This window comes from Homo sapiens, chromosome 7, assembly GCF_000001405.40.
Source record: "Homo sapiens chromosome 7, GRCh38.p14 Primary Assembly".
Lineage (NCBI taxonomy): Eukaryota > Metazoa > Chordata > Mammalia > Primates > Hominidae > Homo > Homo sapiens.
In genome coordinates, this window is record NC_000007.14 from 152,038,096 (window position 1) to 152,056,627 (window position 18,532).

The 18,532-nt window shown below is 39.7% G+C and overlaps 1 protein-coding gene across 23 annotated transcripts in view, besides 1 other annotated feature; it reads left to right on the forward strand.

Annotated features, from left to right (window-relative positions):
* GALNT11 (polypeptide N-acetylgalactosaminyltransferase 11) overlaps nt 1-18,532 on the forward strand; it is a 96,667-nt gene that overhangs the window by 12,422 nt on the left and 65,713 nt on the right. The window lies entirely within an intron of this gene.
* Nucleotides 367-868: an enhancer, noted in NCBI's record as "NANOG hESC enhancer chr7:151735547-151736048 (GRCh37/hg19 assembly coordinates)". NCBI's record gives its function as "activates a minimal SCP1, AML or CMV promoter by ChIP-STARR-seq in naive H9 embryonic stem cells {active_cell/tissue: H9 hESC(naive)}" and the evidence as "EXISTENCE:reporter gene assay evidence [ECO:0000049][PMID:30033119]".

The window sequence follows — 18,532 nt, forward strand, 5'->3', positions numbered from 1 at the left end:
ATTTTATAGTTTTCATTGCAGAGATCATTCACTGCCGAGACCAGCTGGGTCATGGAGACCCTTACCCAGCGGCGCTAGAGGAATTAAAGACACACACACAGAAATATAGAGTGTGGAATGGGAAATCAGGGGCCTCACAGCCTTCAGAGCTGAGAGCCATGAACAGAGATTTACCCACATATTTATTGACAGCAAGCCAGTCATAAGATTTACTATAAGTATTCCTTATGGGAAATAAAGGGATGGGCAGAAATAAAGGAATGGGCTCTGGCTGCTTACCTGCAGCATAAGTATGTCCTTAAGGCCCAGATCGCTTATGCTATTGTTTGTGGTTTAAGAATGCCTTAAGTGGTTTTCCACTCTGGGTGGGTCAGGTGTTCCTTGCCCTCATTCCGGTAAACCGACAACCTTCCAGCATTGCGTCAAGGCCATCACGAGCATGTCACAGTGCTGCAGAGATTTTGTTTATGGCCAGTTTTGGGGCCAGTTTATGGCCAGATTTTGGGGCCTGTTCCCAACATGTCCCCCTTTGTTTTGCAAAGTGATAAAAGCAAAGGCAGGTTTGTCATGGTGAGCTACTTCTTGCAGGAGTCAGGATCCACATCTGCAGAGTACACAAAGACAACACAGATTAAAAGGACGATCATTGTTGAAATCACAGAGCTTCCAAGTGTTTTTCTCCATTTGAATAGGTTACTAGCTGCTAATCTGTCTGCAGCTCCTTCGAGCACTCTAGTTCCTGGCATTAAGGTCAAGTGTGGCTGTGATGCTTTAAATATTTGTTCTTTTAATTTTGCAATATCCAAAGACAAGTTTGTAGAGTGGCCTTCTAGATGCTTTTTTATTCTTTCCTAAATTTTGATTTTATTAAGAGCTATTAATAATTTCCACAAATCCTTGTTTAGCTCCTACAATGGGCCATATCATTTGAGGTTGAGGTGCCACTATACTGCCATGGTTCCAGATAATAGGAACTCTTGTCATACTTCTTACCATTTCTACCATCTGACCATTTTGTTCAGACCAGCTGAACATAGTGTGGCCATGGCACGCAGACTGAGGTGCAATTCAAGCTAAACATCCCCTAGGGGACCAATCAATTCCATAGGAATCACTGCACAGCACCTCTGCCTGTTCTGCAATGCAATTTTCCTAAACAAGTATGTTCATTTTTTCTTGCCAGGTTCAATTTTATTTATAAATAGGTTTTTGAGGGTGGTATGCCTCAATTGTAGGAGCAGATTCATTATGGTAAATACTGAGATCAGAAAGCATGTGTAACTGTGTCATAGAGTGATTGCATCCAGGCATTGTTGCCAGCCAAGATGGATAAATATGCCCAATAAGTGTAATTGTTCTCTGTGTCAGCCCTTGTTGAAGGCAGTGGTGATCACCGCTATCATTAAATTATTCATTGTGACTGGTTGTCCCGCTTTCCTCAGGTTTTCTTCCGCCATCTGTGACAGCTTCTTGATCTGTCCCCAGGTGGGTGGCTGTGTTCGATGGGTGTTGCTCATGACAGTTGGCATCCTCCTCAGCGTCAGTCTTGACATGGCTGCAACCGGGGGTCCTCGGGATTCTCCTGGAATCTTTTCCCCAGCATCTGGCTTATGATAAGGTTTCAGGTGTTTTGATGGTATCCAAATCGGCTGTTGATTTGGTCCTGGAGAAACACAAGCATAACCTCTACCCCAAGTTATTATTTTACCTATTTCCCGACTTTTTGTTATTGGGTCTCTCCACCAAACCAGTTTTTCTGCTTCTGTCTTTGCAGCTGATTTCTGTAGATGCTGTTCAGCTGCTGATAGCATCTGGCCTTTAGGCAGGCTCAAAAAATTTAAAGTTAAGAATGCTAGATTCAATTGTATGCGGGCTGTCCTGTAATCCATTTCCCCCTTTCTGTTTTTGCAACTGCCGTTTCAGGGAGAGATTCATTCTTTCCACTATGGCTTGTCCTTGAGAATTATATGGGATACCAGTAATGTGTTTAATATTCCATATAGAGAAAAATGTAGCTAGAGCTTGGCTAGTATAGCCTGGGGTATTATCTGTTTCAATAGAAGCTGGAATGCCCACCACTGCAAAATACTGCAAGAGGTGACGTTTAACACAAGCAGAAGACTCTCCTGATTGGCATGTAGCCCAGACAAAGTGAGAAAAGGTGTCCACACATACATGTACATAAACTAGTCTCCCAAACGAGGGAACATGTGTGACATCCATTTGCCAAAGAGAATTAGGTTCCAGTTCTCGAGAATTAGCTCCTCCTGTAAAAGATGAGGAACGCACCACTTGGCAAGTTGGGCATCGCTGGATAATAGCTTTAGCTTCTTTCCAGGTAATGCTGTATCTGCGTTTGAGACCAGAGGCATTAACATGGGTTAAATTGTGAAAGTGTCTAGCATTAGATATTACTTTAGCAACAAGGCGATCAGCCATTTGATTCCCTTCAGTCAAAGGTCCTGGAAGAGATGTATAAGCCCTAATGTGAGTGATGTAAAAAGGGTGCATTCTACTCCTAACTGCTGCTTGCAATTGGGTAAATAAAGTAATCAGTTGTTCATCTGTATGAAATCATAACTGAGCATTTTCAATTAACTGTGTGGAATGAACCATGTATAAAGAATCAAATCACATTAATAGGCATATTAAAAGCAGTCAATACCTCAATTACAGCTACGAGCTCTGCTTTTTGAGCTGAACCATAGGGCATCTGAAAAACTTTACCTTTTGAGCCAGAATAAGAAGCTTTACCGTTGCTAGACCCATCTGTAAAAACATTCTCAGCACCTTCAATTGGTTTAAATTTAGTTATTCTAGGGAGAATCCAATTACTTATTGTGACTGGTTGTCCAGCTTTCCTCAGGTTTTCTTCCGCCATCTGTGGCAGCTTCTCGATCTGTCCCCAGGTGGGTGGCTGTGTTCGATGGGTGTTGCTCGTGACAGTTGGGGTCCTCCTCAGCGTCAGTCTTGACATGGCTGCAACTGGGAATCCTTGGGATCCTTCCGGAATCTCTTCCTTGGCATCTGGCTTATGATAAGGTTTCAGGTATCTTGATGGTATCCAAATTGGCTGTTGATTTGGTCCTGGAGAAACACAAGCATAACCTCTACTCCAAGTTATTATTTTACCTATTTCCCAACTTTTTATTATCGGGTCTCTCCACCAAACCAGTTCAAAAATTCAGACAGTTTTGTTTTAGGAAAATGGTTATCGAGAATACCCACAAAGTCAGCTAAATGGGTTTGCCAAGTAAGACTATTTATAAAAGCTTGCTGTATTTGTGCCTTTATGAGGACAATAATTTTTCCAGGATCATATCCATGTAATTTAACAATCCGAGTTCTGCCATTTCCTATTATATCACTATCAGAGTAGTGACTTGATCCAAATAAGGAGTTAGAGTCCATGAATTAGCATGTGGAAGAAAAAGCCATTCTAAGTCCAGCTCTTGGACAGTAACACCAGTAGGTGAATGCTGAGTTGGAAAAATTAGCAAATCTAGAGTCTTCTCTGGATCTATTCTATTTGAGCTTTATGGACTTGCTTTTCAATCAGCTGTAACTCTGCCTCAGCTTCCTTTGTTAATTGCCAAGGGCTAGTGAGACTAGGATCTCCTCTAAGGATAGAAAATAGATTACTCATGGCATAGGTAGGAATGCCTAGAGCAGGTCATATCCAATTAATGTCCCCTAGTAATTTTTGAAAGTCATTTAATGTTTTCATTTGATCCCTACGTATGGCTACTTTCTGTGGCACAATGGTAGTGTCATTTACTAAGGTCCCCAAGTAGGAATAAGGAGTAGTAGTCTGAATTTTGTCAGGAGCTGTAATTAAGCCAGCAGGAGAAATTGAATTTTGCAAGTGATCATAATATTGGAGTAATATTTCTTGAGTGGAGGCAGCACAAAGTATATCATGCATATAATGGATAATGTAACACTGAAATTTTTTTATGAGTAGGTTCAATTGCTTGCCCTACATATATCTGGCAAATTGTTTAACATACCTTGTGGCAACACTTTCCAGTGAAAACGTTTAGCAGGCTTAAGCTGCAGATTGTTTACTGCAAGAATTGTAAATACAAACCATTCACAGTCCTGCTCAGCTAAGGGGATAGTAAAGAAACAGTATTTTAAATCTATGACTATTAAAGGCCAATTTTTTGGAATCATAGCAGGAGAAGGCAATCTTGGCTGTAATGTCCCCATAGGTTGTATAACTGAATTAATGGCTCTTAAGTCAGTTAACATTTTCCGTTTACCTGATTTTTTCTTAATTATGAAAACTGGAGAATTCCAAGGGGAAAATGTTGGAGCTATGTGTCCCTTTTTTAATTGTTGAGTAATTAAGTCTTCTAAAGCCTCCAGTTTCTCTTTACTCAGCGGCCATTGTTCTGTCCAAATTGGCTTATCTGTTAACCATTTTAAAGGTATAGGTTCTGGAGGCTTAACAATGGCCGCCATCAAAAATGATATCCTAAACCTTGGCAGGAACTTTGTCTTTCCACTTGAAGCGGTTCCTTCAAACCTTGCAAATTTTTTCCTGTTCCCATGCCAGGGACATACCCCATTTCATGCATCATATGTTGACTTTGAGGGCTATATAATTGTTCTGGAATTAGAACTTGTGTTCCCCATTGTTGTAATAAATCCCTTCCCCATAAATTTATAGGTACAGAAGTTATAATTGGTTGAATAGTCCCAGGTTGTCCATCGGGCCCTTCACAATGCAAAATATAACTACTTTGATATACTTTAGGGGCTTTACCACTCCAACTATGTTAAATTGAGTGGGTGGAATTGGCCACGCAGACGGCCAGTGCTGTAGAGAAAGGATTGAAATGTCCGCTCCTGTATCTACCAAACCTTTAAATTTCTTTCCCTGAATAGTTATTTCACAGGTAGGATATTTATCAGTAATTTGATTCACCTAATAAGCTGCTTTGCCTTGTTTATTTGTGCTTCCAAATCCTCCTGTTCATTTAATTTCACTTTTCCCCATTTCCACATACGGCACAATTAGGAGCTGTGCTATATGGTCTCCAGGCTTTGCTTTCCAGGGAACAGAAGTAGATGTAACAATTTGAATTTCCCCATTGTAATCAGAATCAGTGACTCCTGTTTGTACTTGTACCGCTTTTATATTTAAACTAGACCTGCCTAGAAGTAATCCTGTCATCCCCGCTGGCAAGGGTCCACCGGCTCCTGTTGGGACCTTTTGCGGGGATTCCCCAGGCAGAAGGCTCACAGCTTTTGTGCAGCATAAATCTACTGCAGCACTACCGGCTGTGGCGGGGGACAGACATTGTACAGGGGTGAGGGAATGGCCTGAGCCAGAAATGCCCTGGTTTGAAATGGGGCCGGGAACTGGCCCCTCATGGCATTTCCCCAATTTAAAAGGAAAAGGCTCAAATGTAGCTATAATATTTCCCTGTTTATCTGGGGGGTGTACTCTAACAGGGAACTGCCAAGCCTCTAAATCACCCTCTCATCTAGCTTGCTGAATTCCTGCCTGAATAGAACTGAGAGCTGTTGCTTGAGGTGCAGCTTGAACAGTCAGTGGGGCAACTACTTTTCGCCCAGTGTCATCTGGAAAAGAAAGATCCGGAGGGTCAGGCTACTCTTTTTCTTCAAAATAATGAGGGGGTACAGAAGGGTAGGGATGAACCTCTCCCTCCATTGCCGCTTTACCTTTAGCTGGCAAACAAACCTGCTCTGTTACTTCATTATACTCTCCTTCCTCCTCATCAGTGTGAAAAGTTTCCAAGGTGGAATGAACCAGAGCCCACACTTGTCCCATTGTTACCCTGATGCTTCCAAGCTCCCCTTCTTACCACAGGGACTGCTTAAGAGTACTTGGGTGTCCTCCAGCTTAGTTCCACATTCTCCAACTGTTGCTCTGGTGACCCTTTGACCTGGGTTCGAGCCCCACGTATGGGCATTACTTGCTGAGACCAGCTTGGTCGTGGAGACCCTAACCCAGTGGTGCTAGAGGAATTAAAGACACACACACAGAAATATAGAGTGTGGAATGGGAAATCAGGGGTCTCACAGCCTTCAGAGCTGAGAGCCATGAACAGAGATTTACCCACATTATTTATTGACAGCAAGGCAGTCATAAGATTTACTGTAAGTATTCCTTACGGGAAATAAAGGGATGGGCCAAAATAAAAGGATGGGCTCTGGCTGGTTACCTGCAGCATGAACTTGTCCTTAAGGCACAGCTCGCTCATGCTATTGTTTGTGGTTTAAGAACACCTTAAGGGGTTTTCCACCCTGGGTGGGCCAGGTGTTCCTTGCCCTCATTCTGGTAAACCGACAGCCTTCCAGCATTGCATCAAGGCCATCATGAGCATGTCACAGTGCTGCAGAGATTTTGTTTATGACTAGATTTGGGGGCCTGTTCCGAACAGTTCACTTGGTTAATTCCTAGTATTTAATTTTATTTGTGGCTATTGTAAATGGGATTACTTTCTTGATTTCGTTTTTCAGATTGTTTGCTGTCGGCCTAGAGAAATGCTCTGATATTTGTATATTGATTTTGTATCCTGTAACTTTACTGAATTTATCAGTTCTAATAGTTTTTTGGTGCAATCTTTAGATTTCTCCAAATATAAGATCATATCATCTGCAAACAAGGGTACTTTGACTTCTTCCTTTCTAATTTGGATGCCCTTTATTTTATTCTCTTGTCTGATTGCTCTAGCTAGGACTTCTAGTACTGTGGTGAATGACAGTGATGAAAGTGGGCATCCTTGCATTCTAGATCTTAGAAGAAAAACTTTCAGTCTTCCCCAATTCAGTATGATACTAACTGTGGGTTTATTGTATATGGCTTTTATTCTATTGAGGTATGTTCCTTCTATACCCGGTTTTTTGAGGTTTTTATCATGAAAGGATGTTTAATTTTACCAAATTCTTTTTCAGCATCAATTGAAACGATCATATGGTTTTTATCCTTCATTCTGTTGATTTGATGTATCATATTGATTGATTTGTGTATGTTGAACCATCCTTGCATCCCTGGGATAAATCCCACTTAGTCATGATGAATGATCTTTTTAATGTGTCATTGAATTCAGTTTGCTAGTATTTTGTTGAGGATTTTTTTTTATCAGTGTTCATCAGGGATACTGGCCTGTAGTTTTATTTTTTTGATGTGTCTTTGTCTGGTTTTGGTATCAGGGTAATATTGGCCTCGCAGAATGAGTTTGAAAGTATTCCTTCCTCCTTTGTTTTTCTGGAATAGTTTCGGTAGGATTGGTATTAGTTCTTTAAAAGTTTGATAAAATTCAGCATTGAAGCCATTAGGTCCTGGGGTTTTCCTTGCTGGGAGACTTTTTATTACAGCTTTGATCTTGTTACTTGCTATTGGTCTGTTCAAGTTTTGGATTTCTTAATAGTTCAGTCTTGGCAGGTTATATGTATCTAGGAATTTTTCCATTTTCTCTAGGTTTTCCAATTTATTGGCATATAGTTGCTCATAGTAGCCTCTCATGATCTTTTGAGTTTCTGTGATATTGATTGTAATGTCTCCTTTTTCAGCTCTGATTTTATTGATTTGGGGCTTCTCTTTTTTTTCATAGTCTGGCTAGTGGTTTGTCAATTGTATTTATCTTTTCAAAAAATGAACTTTTTGTTTTGTTGATCTTTTGTATTGTTTTCTTCATCTTAATTTCTTTTATTTCTGCTGTGATCTTTTTTATTGCTTTTCTTCTAATTTTGGGTTGGTTTCCTCTTGCTTTTCTTCTTGCTTTCTCTGCATCTTTAAGATGCATAATTAGGTGGTTTATTTGGAGTTTTTCTACTTTTTTGATGTAGGTGCTTATTGCTATAAACTTTCCTCTTAGTTTTGCTTTCACTATATCCCATAGGTTTTGGTATGTTGTTTCCATTATCATTTGTTTAAAGAAATCTTAAAATTTCCTTCTTAATGTCTTTATTGACCCACTGGTCATTCAGGTGCATATTGTTTAATTTACATGTGTTTGTATAGTTTCCCAAATTCTTCTTGTAATTGATTCTAGTTTTATTCTGTTGTGGTCGGAGAAGATACTTGATATAATTTCAGTTTGTTTGAATTTTTAAAAACTTGCTTTTAGACCTCAAGGATAGACCTAACATATGGTCTATCCTTGAGGATGATCTATGTGTTGAGGAGAAGAATGCATATTCTGCAGCCATTGAATGAAATGCCCTGTAAGTATTTATTAGGTCCATTTGGTCAGTAGTACAGATTAAGTCTGATATATCTTTGTTGATTTTTTGTCTGGATGATCTGTCCAATGCTGAAAATGAAGCATTGGGAGTCTTCAGTTATTGTATTGGGATCTATCTCTCTCTTTAGCTCTAATAATATTTGCTTTATGTATCTGGGTGCTCTAGTATTGGGTGCGTATATATTCACAGTTGTTATAGTCTCTTGCTGAACTGAGTTCTTTATCATTATATAATGACCTTGTCTCTTTATAGTTTTTTCTTGAGATCCATTTTGTTTGATATAAATATAGCTACTCCTGCTCTTTTTTGGTTTCCATTTGCATGGAATATCTTTTTTCATTCTTTTGTTTTCAGTCTGTGTGTCTTTATAGGTTAAGTATGTTTCTTGTAGGCAACAGGTTGTTGGGTCTGCTTTTTTATCCATTCAGCCACTCTGTGTCTTTTGACTGGGGAGTTAGTCCATTTACATTCAATGTTATTACTGATAAGTAAGGTCCTACTGCTGCCTTTTTATTATTTGTTTTCTGGTTGTTTTGTGGTCTGCTTCCTTCTTAACCTTCCTTCCTGTCTTCCTTTTAGTGAAGGTGATTTTCTCTGGTGGTATGTTTTAATTTCTTGCATTTTATTTTTTGTGTATCTATCATATGTTTTTAGATTTGAGGTTACCACAAGGCTTGAAAATAGTATCTTATAACAATTTTAAACCAATGGCAACTTAACACTGATTGTCTAAACAAAGAGGCAAGCAAAAAGAAAACTAATAAAAACTACATGTTGGCCAGGTGCAGTGGCTCATGTTTGTAATCCCAGCACTTTGGGAGGCTGAGGTGGGTGGATTGCTTGAACTCAGAAGTTCAAGACCAGCCTAGGGGCTGGGCACGGTGGTTCACACCTGTAATCCCAGCACTTTGGTAGGCCGAGGCTGGGGGATCATTTGAGGTCAGGAGTTCAAGACCAGCCTGGCTAACATGGTGAAACCCTATCTCTACTAAAAATACAAAAATTAGCTGGGTGTGGTGCCTGTAATCCCAGCTACTTGGGAGACTGAGGCAGGAGAATCACTTGAACCTGGGAAGCGGAGGTTGTAGTGAGCCAAAATCACACCATTGCACTCCAGCCTGGGCGACAAGAGGGAGACTCCATCTCAAAACAAACAAACAAACAAACAAAACAAACAAAACAGCTTGGGCAACATGGTGAAACCCCATCTCTACAAAAAAATACAAAAATTAACCAGGCATGTTAGTGCACACCTATAGTCCCAGCTACTTGGGAGGCTGAGGTATGAGGATTGCTTGAGCCCAGGAGGTTGAGGCTGCAGTGAGCTGTGATTGCACCACTGCACTCTAGCCTGGTCAACAGTGACACCGTGTGTGTGTGTGTGTGTGTGTGCGCACACACACAAGTATGTATACTCTATATATAAATAAGTAAATAAATATATTTTACCTTCATTACATTTTAACAACATCTGCATTTTAACTCCATTCCCTGCTTTTAAACTTTTTGTTGTTTCTATTTATATCTTATTGTATTGTCTATGACCTGAAAACTTGTTGTAGTAATTATTTTTGATCAGTTCGTCTTTTAGTCTTTCTACTCAAGACATGTATGGCTCACACACCACAATGACGGTACTCTAATATGCTGTGTTTTTCTGTGTACTTGCTATTACCACTGAGTTTTGTACCTTCAGACACTTTCTTATTGTGCATTAATGTCCTTTTCTTTCAGATTTAAGAACTCTCTTTGGCATTTCTTTTAAGATAGGTCTAGTGTTGATGAAATCCCTCAGCTTTTGTTTCTCTGGAAGACCTTTATTTCTCCTTCATGTTTGAAGAATATTTTTGCGGGATATAGTATTCTAAGATAAAAGTTTTTTCCTTCGGCACTTTAAATAGGCCACTCTCCTGGCCTTTAAGGCTACCACTGAGAAATCTGCTGCCAGACATATTGGAGCTCCATTATATGTTATTTGTTTCTTTTTTGTTGCTGCTTTTAGGATTTTTTCTTTATGTTTGACCTTTGGGAGTTTGATTGTTAAATACATTGAAGCAGTCTTATTTGGGTTAAATCTGCTTGATGTTCTCATACTTAAATATTGATATCTTCCTCTAGGTTTGGGATGTTCTTTGTTATTGTCTCTTGGAATTAATTTTCTACCCCCACTGTCTGTCTACGTCCTCTTTAAGGTCAACAACTTTTCTTTTTCTTTTTCTTTTTTTTTTTGAGACGGAGTCTCACTTTGTCACCCAGGCTGGAGTGCAGTGGTGCGATCTCAACTCACTGCAAGCTCCACCTCCCAGGTTCATGCCATTGTCCTGCCTCAGCCTCCAGAGTAGCTGGGACTACAGGCACCCACCACCACGCCTGGCTAATTTTTTTGTATTTTTAGTAGAGACGGGGTTTCACTGTGTTAGCCAGGAAGGGGCAACAACTTTTAAGTTTGCCTTTTTGAGGCTGTTTTCTAGATCTTGTAGGTGTGCTTCATTCTTGTTTTTTTCTTTTGTCTCTTCTGACTCTGTATGTTCAAATGGCCTGTCTTCAAGTTCACTAATTCCTTCTTCTGCTTGATCTGTTCAGCTGTTAAGAGACTGATGTATTCTTCAGTATGTTAGTTGCATTTTATAGCTCCAGAATTTCTACTTGATTCTTAATTATTTCAATCTCTTGTTAAATTTATCTGATAGAATTCTGAATTCCTTCTCTGTGTTATCTTTAGTTTTGTTGAGTTTCCTCAAAACAGCTATCTTGAATTATTTTTTTGAAAGGTTACATATCTAGCTCTCCAAGATTGGTTGCTGATGCCTTATTTAGTTCATTTGGTGAGGTCATGTTTTCCGGAATCATCTTGATGCTTGAGGATGTTTGTTGGTTCCTAGGCATTGAAGAGTTAGGTATTTATCGTAGTCTTCACAGTCTGGACTTTTTGTACCCATCCTTCCTGGAAAGACTTTCCATATATTCAAAGGAACTTGGATGTTGTGATGTAAATTTTTCGTCATTGTTGCCATATCTGCCTTAGATGACACCCCAAGCCCAGTAACACAGTGGCTCTTTTAGACTTATAGAGGCACTGCCTTGATGGTCTTAGATAAGATCTAGAAGATTTCTCTGGATTACCAGGTAGAGATGCTTTTTGTCTTTCCTTACTCTCTCCTAAACAAATGGAGTCTCTGCTGAGCTTCCTGGAGCTGGGGGAGTGGTGAAACAAGCACTGCTGTGGCCACCACCACTGAGATTACACTGGGGCAGACCTGAAGCCAGCACAACACCAGGTCTCAACCAAGGCCCTTGGTAACCACTGTGGCTACTGCCTATATTTGCTCAAGGCCCTAAGGCTCTATAATCAGCAGGTAGTAAAACCAGCCAGGCTTATGTCCTTTCCTTCAGGATGGCAAGCTCCCCTCAGTCTTAGGTCCAGTGGTGCCATCCTGGAGCCAGGTCCTGGAGTTGGAAACCTTAGGAATCTACCTGGTGCTCTATTCTACTGCGGCTGAGCTGGCACCCAAGCCTTCCCAGTCCTCCCTCCCTTTTTCATGAGCAGAGGAGTCTCCCCCTTAGCTGCCACTGTCCTAGGTTCATGGCAAGTACTGCCTGGCTACTGCCAGTGTTCATTCAAGGCCCAAGGGCTCTTCAGTCAGCTTGTAGTGAATGCTGCCAGGCCTGAGACTCTCCCTTCGGGGCAGCAGGCTCCCCTCTGGCCCAGGACAAGTCCAGAAATACCATCCAAGAGCCAAGGCCTGAAATCAAGGACCCCAAGGGCCCGCTTGGTGCTCTACCCCACTGTGGCCACACTGATACCTAGGCTGCAAGACAAAGTCCCCTTTGCTCTTCCCTCTCCTTTTCTCAAGCAGAAGTCCCTTTCTGTAGCCACCACATCTGGGAGTGTGCTGGGTCACACCTGAAGCCAGCACGTCTCTGAGTCTCACCCAAAGGTCCATGATGAGTATGGCCTGGTTACCACTGCTGATGATTTGGGGCCCAAGCGCTCTTTATTCAGCAGGTGATAAATCCTGCCAGTACTAGGTCCTTCCGTTCAAGGTAGCAGGTTCCCTTGTAGCCCAGGCTGTGTCTAGAAATGTTATCTGGGACATTTGGTGTCCAGGGTCTGGAATGGGAGCTTCAGGACTTTGCCTGGTGCCCTGTTCTGTTGTGGCAGAGCTAGTGTCCAAGTTGTAAGAGAAAATCCTGTTTACTCTTCCGTCTCCTTTCCTCAAGTGGAAGGAAAGAGTCTCCCCTGGAGCTGCGAGCTGCACTGCCTGGGGTTGAGGGAGGGGTGGTGCAAGCACTCCCTTGGTGGTCCTGCTGGTGTCTTACTGGGCTGCGTGCCCTCCAAGTCCATTGGCTCCAAGCCCAGCCCAGCACCAAGACTTGCCCAGGAATTGCAGTCTTTGTGGTCTGGGCTGCTATTCAAGTTTATTTTGAATCCCAGAGCAGTTTAGCCCATGGTGGTAAGTCTTGCTGGAACTTGAGTTTCCACCACCAGGATGGGCAATTCCCCTCTGGCTACAGCTCTAAATGCTTCCTCTGTGGGCGCCAGCTGAATTCTGCCCCCTTTTGCTTTCCACTGTGACAGGGCAGCACTGAGTTCCGATGTGAAAGCCCTACAATCCCTGCCCTCTCCCTCCCCCAAACACAGAGATTCTCTTTCTGTGCCACAGGAATGGGAGAGGGGTGGTGTCAGCAATTCACGACTTTATCCTCTTCAGTGCCTCTTGCAGTGATATTATGTTAAAACCATGTGATTGCTCACCTGATTTTTAGTTCTTATGAAGGTGCTTTGTTGTGTGGATTGTTGTTTAATTTGGGAAGATGATTGGTGGAGGCTTCCATTTGGCCATCTGGCTCTGCCTTTCCTCCTAGAATTATATCTGGTTGTTTTTTTTTTTTTTTTTTTTTTTTTTTCAGTAGTTTGTGCCAGCCGGGATTTTGACCAGATCCACATTTATTTGGTTGATATGCCTCTTAAGTTTCTTTTTTTTTCTTTGCAATATGTTTGTTAAAGAAATTGGGTTATTTGTCTTGTACAACTTCATATATTTTTAAAATGAATGCTGTTGGGATAAATAGAAAAATATCAAGGCCCCCACCCTCCAATTCTGGTAGACTTTACCTCTTGAGGGATATTAATATGCTCGTGATGGACTAGTTTTGCTTATTTTTAGCATCAAGGAAGATTTGGTCTATTCCTTTCTACTTCACATTATGAGAACAGTTGGTTGGTTGGTTTTCCAAACATAAAATGGTATTGTAATTTGGAATATGCTTTTCATACTACTCTGCACTCACCAAAATATTCTGGTATTACTCTCCTCCCCCAAATCACAGATGTAGGGTAGACTCTTCAGAATTTTAAAAAATCATGTTTTCCTTTTCCCCAGAAATACTATATTTTGAGATCTACTCTGCCTAAGCAAAAATAGGAAATAGAAAAACCTCTCTTTATGCTCAGTGTGTATCACTCGAACTTTTCAAGTTAAATGTTATCAAGCAGTAAGTGTCTGTTCTTCACTCTGACAATTTCTTTGCTGTTCCTTGTAAAAAGTTCTACTGCGCTTTTTGTTGTGGTAAAATATACATAATGTAAAATTTATCATTTTAACTATTTTTAACTGTATAATTGAGTGGCATTAAGTCCATTCACAGTATTTTGTCACTATCACCAAAACTTTTTCATTACCCCAAACAGAAATCTGTAACCATTAAGCAATAATTCCCCATTTTCCCAGCCCCTTTCTGTTTGTGTGAATATGCGTATTCTAGATACCTCATATAAGCAGAATTGTACGGTATTTATCCTGTTGTGTCTGATTTATTTCACATAATGTTTTCAAGATTCATCCATGCTGTAACATGCATTATACTTCATTCTTTTTTATGGCTGAATAATATTCCATTGTGTGTATATATCACAGTTTGCTTATCCATTCATCCCCTAGGATATTGGATTGTTTCCACCTTTTGGCTATTGGGAATACTGTTGCTGTGAACATGTGTTCACAGGTATCTGACCCGTTTTCAATTCTTTTGAGTATACTATATACTCAAAAGTATATTGTATATGTATACACTATATATTTGTATATATTTATACAGTATACCTATATATAGTGGAGTGGCACTGCTGGGTTATATGGCAGTTCCATGTTTAACATATTGAGGAACTGACAAACTCTTCTTCACATTTTAAAAACTGCTTTCTTAAAGATCTTCGTACCTTACTAGTTGCTAAATCTGATGGCTCTACCTCTCTTCTCACCTGTCTTAGCTTCTCTATAAATCTTTGTGGCACCTCACATTGCTGTCGATAGACCCTCTTATTCTTCTGCTTTGTAATCCTTCTCAGGCCCTTCCTGGGTTCTTCCTCCTCCACACAGTCCTTAAATGTACATGTTCCCAGAGGTTCAGTTACTTAAACTCTCCTTTGCTATTATTTTCGTGTAACTTAAACTATCCTTTTGATTTTAAACACCTCTGTCAGGCCTACATTTGAACTTGAATCTCATAGGCATTTCCATATCAGTGTTCTCTCAAATGTGACATGTCTAAAACAACATTCATCTTCTGTTAATCCTCTCAAGCCCATTCTCTCCGTGGTCCCTGTCACTAAGGCTTGAAAGCTGTATATTGATTTTATTATCCCTTTGTCCCTTGGGGGCCCATGCCCTGTAAAGTTGACGAGTGCGGGCAGTTCTCCTGCTGGTCCTCCTTTGCACTCACTTTCACAGTTCTAAATCATGCTATGAGAGCGTCTTTCTTGAATTTTTCTAACTATATTTCTTGGTTCTAGATTTTTTTTCCCTCTGTTCCAAATCATTTTCCACACAGCTGCTAGAATTTTCTCCCTAAGATATATTTGCTTAAAGACAATACCCTTTTTGCATGCAGAACAAGTTAATTCTTCTCATCCTCAGCATCAGATCCCCTTCCTGTCTTCATATAATTAATTACCTTCCAGTAACCTTATCCTGCTCCGTGATCCATCTGTATTCATTACTACAGCCAATCATTCTACTTGCTTTTCTCTTTGGAAAACTGAAAATGTACAGGTTGCAGTTTCCCAAGACTTGAACTTTCTCCTTGAAATATTTCAGTATTTGGCCATTGGAATTTTAATCCTTAAAGCCAACACTTAAATCTCAACTTATCTAAGAAATCATCTTCAAGTGTTTCAGACAAAATTAATGTCTGCATCCTCATTCCATATAGTTTGCTTATATCTTTATTGTAGCACACTTTGAAGTTTGCTTCAGGATATGCTAAAGTTTTCCACCTGATTTATTATTTCTTTACGATTTTTTTCCTTAGAGAAAAAGATTACCGACCAAAATGTGTAACGGTTTCCGAGGCCCTCATGATGTTGTCAGACTGCTTTTAAAAAGCTGTCTGCACTTTGGCTGGGTGGCTCAAGCCTATAATCCCAGCACTTTGGGAGGCCAAGGTGGGAGGATCACTTGAGGCCAGGAGTTTGAGACCAGCCTGAGCAACATAAATAAATAAACCTTTTGTCTGCACAAAAATAAATAAACCTTGCAATTTATAATTTCATCATTGATAAGTGTATCATTTAACTACTATACTTTGAATGTAAGTATTTAGAAAAACTTTCCTAGTTTTTGTTAGAAAATAGTATCTTGTTTTTATTTGCTTGTTTTTGCTAATTATATTGAGACTGAAGACTTTTCCAATGTATTTCCTTGTATGTTTCTCTAGTGAATAGTCTTTTTAATATACTTGTTCCATTAATCTAATACTTTATTCATTTATCTAATCCCATGACTCATTTGCTATAGATATTTTTTCTATTTTTGTCCTTTTGCTTTTTAATTTTGCCCATCACCTTTTGACTTATAGTAATAGCTTTAATTGATTTTTAAGATTAATATTTGTAAATGTTTTCTTTAGTTTTCAATATATTTTTAGAAACTTGGAAAGAGTTGGTAAAAAGACAAGGGAACTTCATTATAAATTGTATTTTAAAAGAGAAAGCATATATTATCCTTACAATCTATTGATCAGTTAACTTAAAAATCTTCAGGATAGTAAAAAGGTCTACCTCACTTTTTTTTTTTTTTTGCTCCTTCCTGTACACCTTCCTGCACAGTGATCTTTCCATTTTTTTTAATTGTGGTAAAATGTAGATAACATGAAGTTTATAGTTTTAATGAATTTTTTTCTTGTCTTTTTTTTTTTTTTTTTTTTTTGAGGCAGGGTCTCATGCTGTTTCCCTGGCAGAAGTGGTGCAGTGGCTATGGTCATGGCTTACTGCAGCCTTGATTTAGTGGGCTCAAGTGATCCTTCTGCTGCAGTCCGCTGAGTAGCTGGGAACACAGGTGCACAGCACCATGTCTGGCTAATTTTTTTTTTTTTGTACTTTTGTAGAGACAGGGTTTCACCATGTTGCCCAGGCTGGTCTTGAACTCCTGGGCTCAAGCGATCCGCCCACCTCAGCCTCCCAAAGTGCTAGGACTACAGGCGTGAGCCACTGAGCTTGGCATGTTCATGTTACTCAATCCCTGAGCCTATTCATGCTATTGGAAAGGATGCTGTGTTTGTTAGGGTTCTCCAGAGAAACAGAACCCATAGGATGTGTGTATACACACACACAAATGCACACGCACAGATTTATTTTAAGGAACTGACTTAAACGATTGTTAGGAGTGTGTGGAGACTAGCAAATCTGAAATCTGTGGAGCAGGCCAGAGACACAGGGAGGAGTTGCTGTTGCAATTTGAGTCCAAAGGCAGCGCGGGGGCAGAATTCCATTGGTATGTGTTCAGATTTCCTCCTCTTATAAAGACACCAGTCCTATTTGACTAGGGCTCAGCCTAATGGCTTCATTTTAATTTAACTATTCTTTAAAGACTCTATCTGTAAATACAGTTACACTCTGAGGTACTGGGGGTTAGGACTTCAACATGAATTTTTAGGAAAACACAATTCATCCCATAAAAGATGCCAAATAATCTCCTGTGGGATGGAGTGGGAGGAAGCAAACCAGCAGATATTTTCTTAAACTCATTTATGGAATTCATAATTTTGTATGAAATGCATTTTATAAATGGCTAGCAATTCACTTTTATTATCTGATGTTATATTTATAAATTGCTAGGTAATTTATTCTGTCTCCAAAGTGTTTCCAGAAAATTCTGACTTCTCATTTCATAATAAGTTACGAGGTATTTGGTATATATAAAGCGTGTGTGTGTGTGTGTGTGTGTGTGTGTGTGTGTGTGTGTGTGTGTGTATATATACATATATATATATACACACAAAGTACCAGGTATTTGGTACTTTTTGTTAAGAGGATACTTTTTAAATTAAATATTTCTCAAAAACTAGAATTGGTGCTTATTACTATCTTATTCTATAAAGTATATAAACTCAATATTGAATCTTACAAAAATATTAAAGTCATTAGCATTTCCTTACCGACAAGATTGGACTTCTAAAATCTTGCATCATGGGAACTAAAAATTCTTCTTTTTAAAATAAAACATTTTGTTTTGTGATAATTGTAGATTCACATGTAATTATAAGAAATAATATCAAGAGATCTTGTGTACCCTTTACCTAATTTCCCCCAATGGTAATATCTTGCAAAAGTATACTGTAATATTAAAACCAGAATATTGACGTCCTACACCCATCTTCCCCCTTCCACAACCCCCCAAATCCCTGTTGTCCTCAGTTCGTGGCAATCACTAATTTGTTCTCTGTTTCTATAATTTTGTCATGTGAAGGATGTTATATAAATGGAATCATACAGTAAGTAAGCTTTTAGGATTAGATTTTTTCAGTCAGCATAATTCCCTTGATTCATCCAAGTTGTCACATTTATCGGTAGTTTGGAAAATGCCGTTTAGAATCCAGCCCCAGCATCACAGAACAGGGTTTCTGAGACTTGGCACTATGGACATTTGGACCAGATAATTCTTTGTTTTTGAGGACTGTTCTGTGCATTTTAGGATGTGCAGCATCTGGGGCATTTACCCAATGGATGTTAATAGGATCTCGCCAGGTATGGCAACCAAAAATGTCTTCAGACACTGCCTAAAGTTCCCGCGGGTTGCCACGTTTTCCCAGAAATTACCAAGTATCCTATCCCTTGGGTGAGAACCACTGGAGTAGAGTATAGAAAGTGGACTTGGAGTGAAGAGACTACAACTTAACCACTGGCAAAATCCATCCTCAGACTACTCTGCATGTCTACACACCCTTCTACACACATGTCCATGTGAGCATTCCCTTACCTAGAGACTACATTGTAACATTACAATGAAATTTGTATTAAATAATGAAGAAG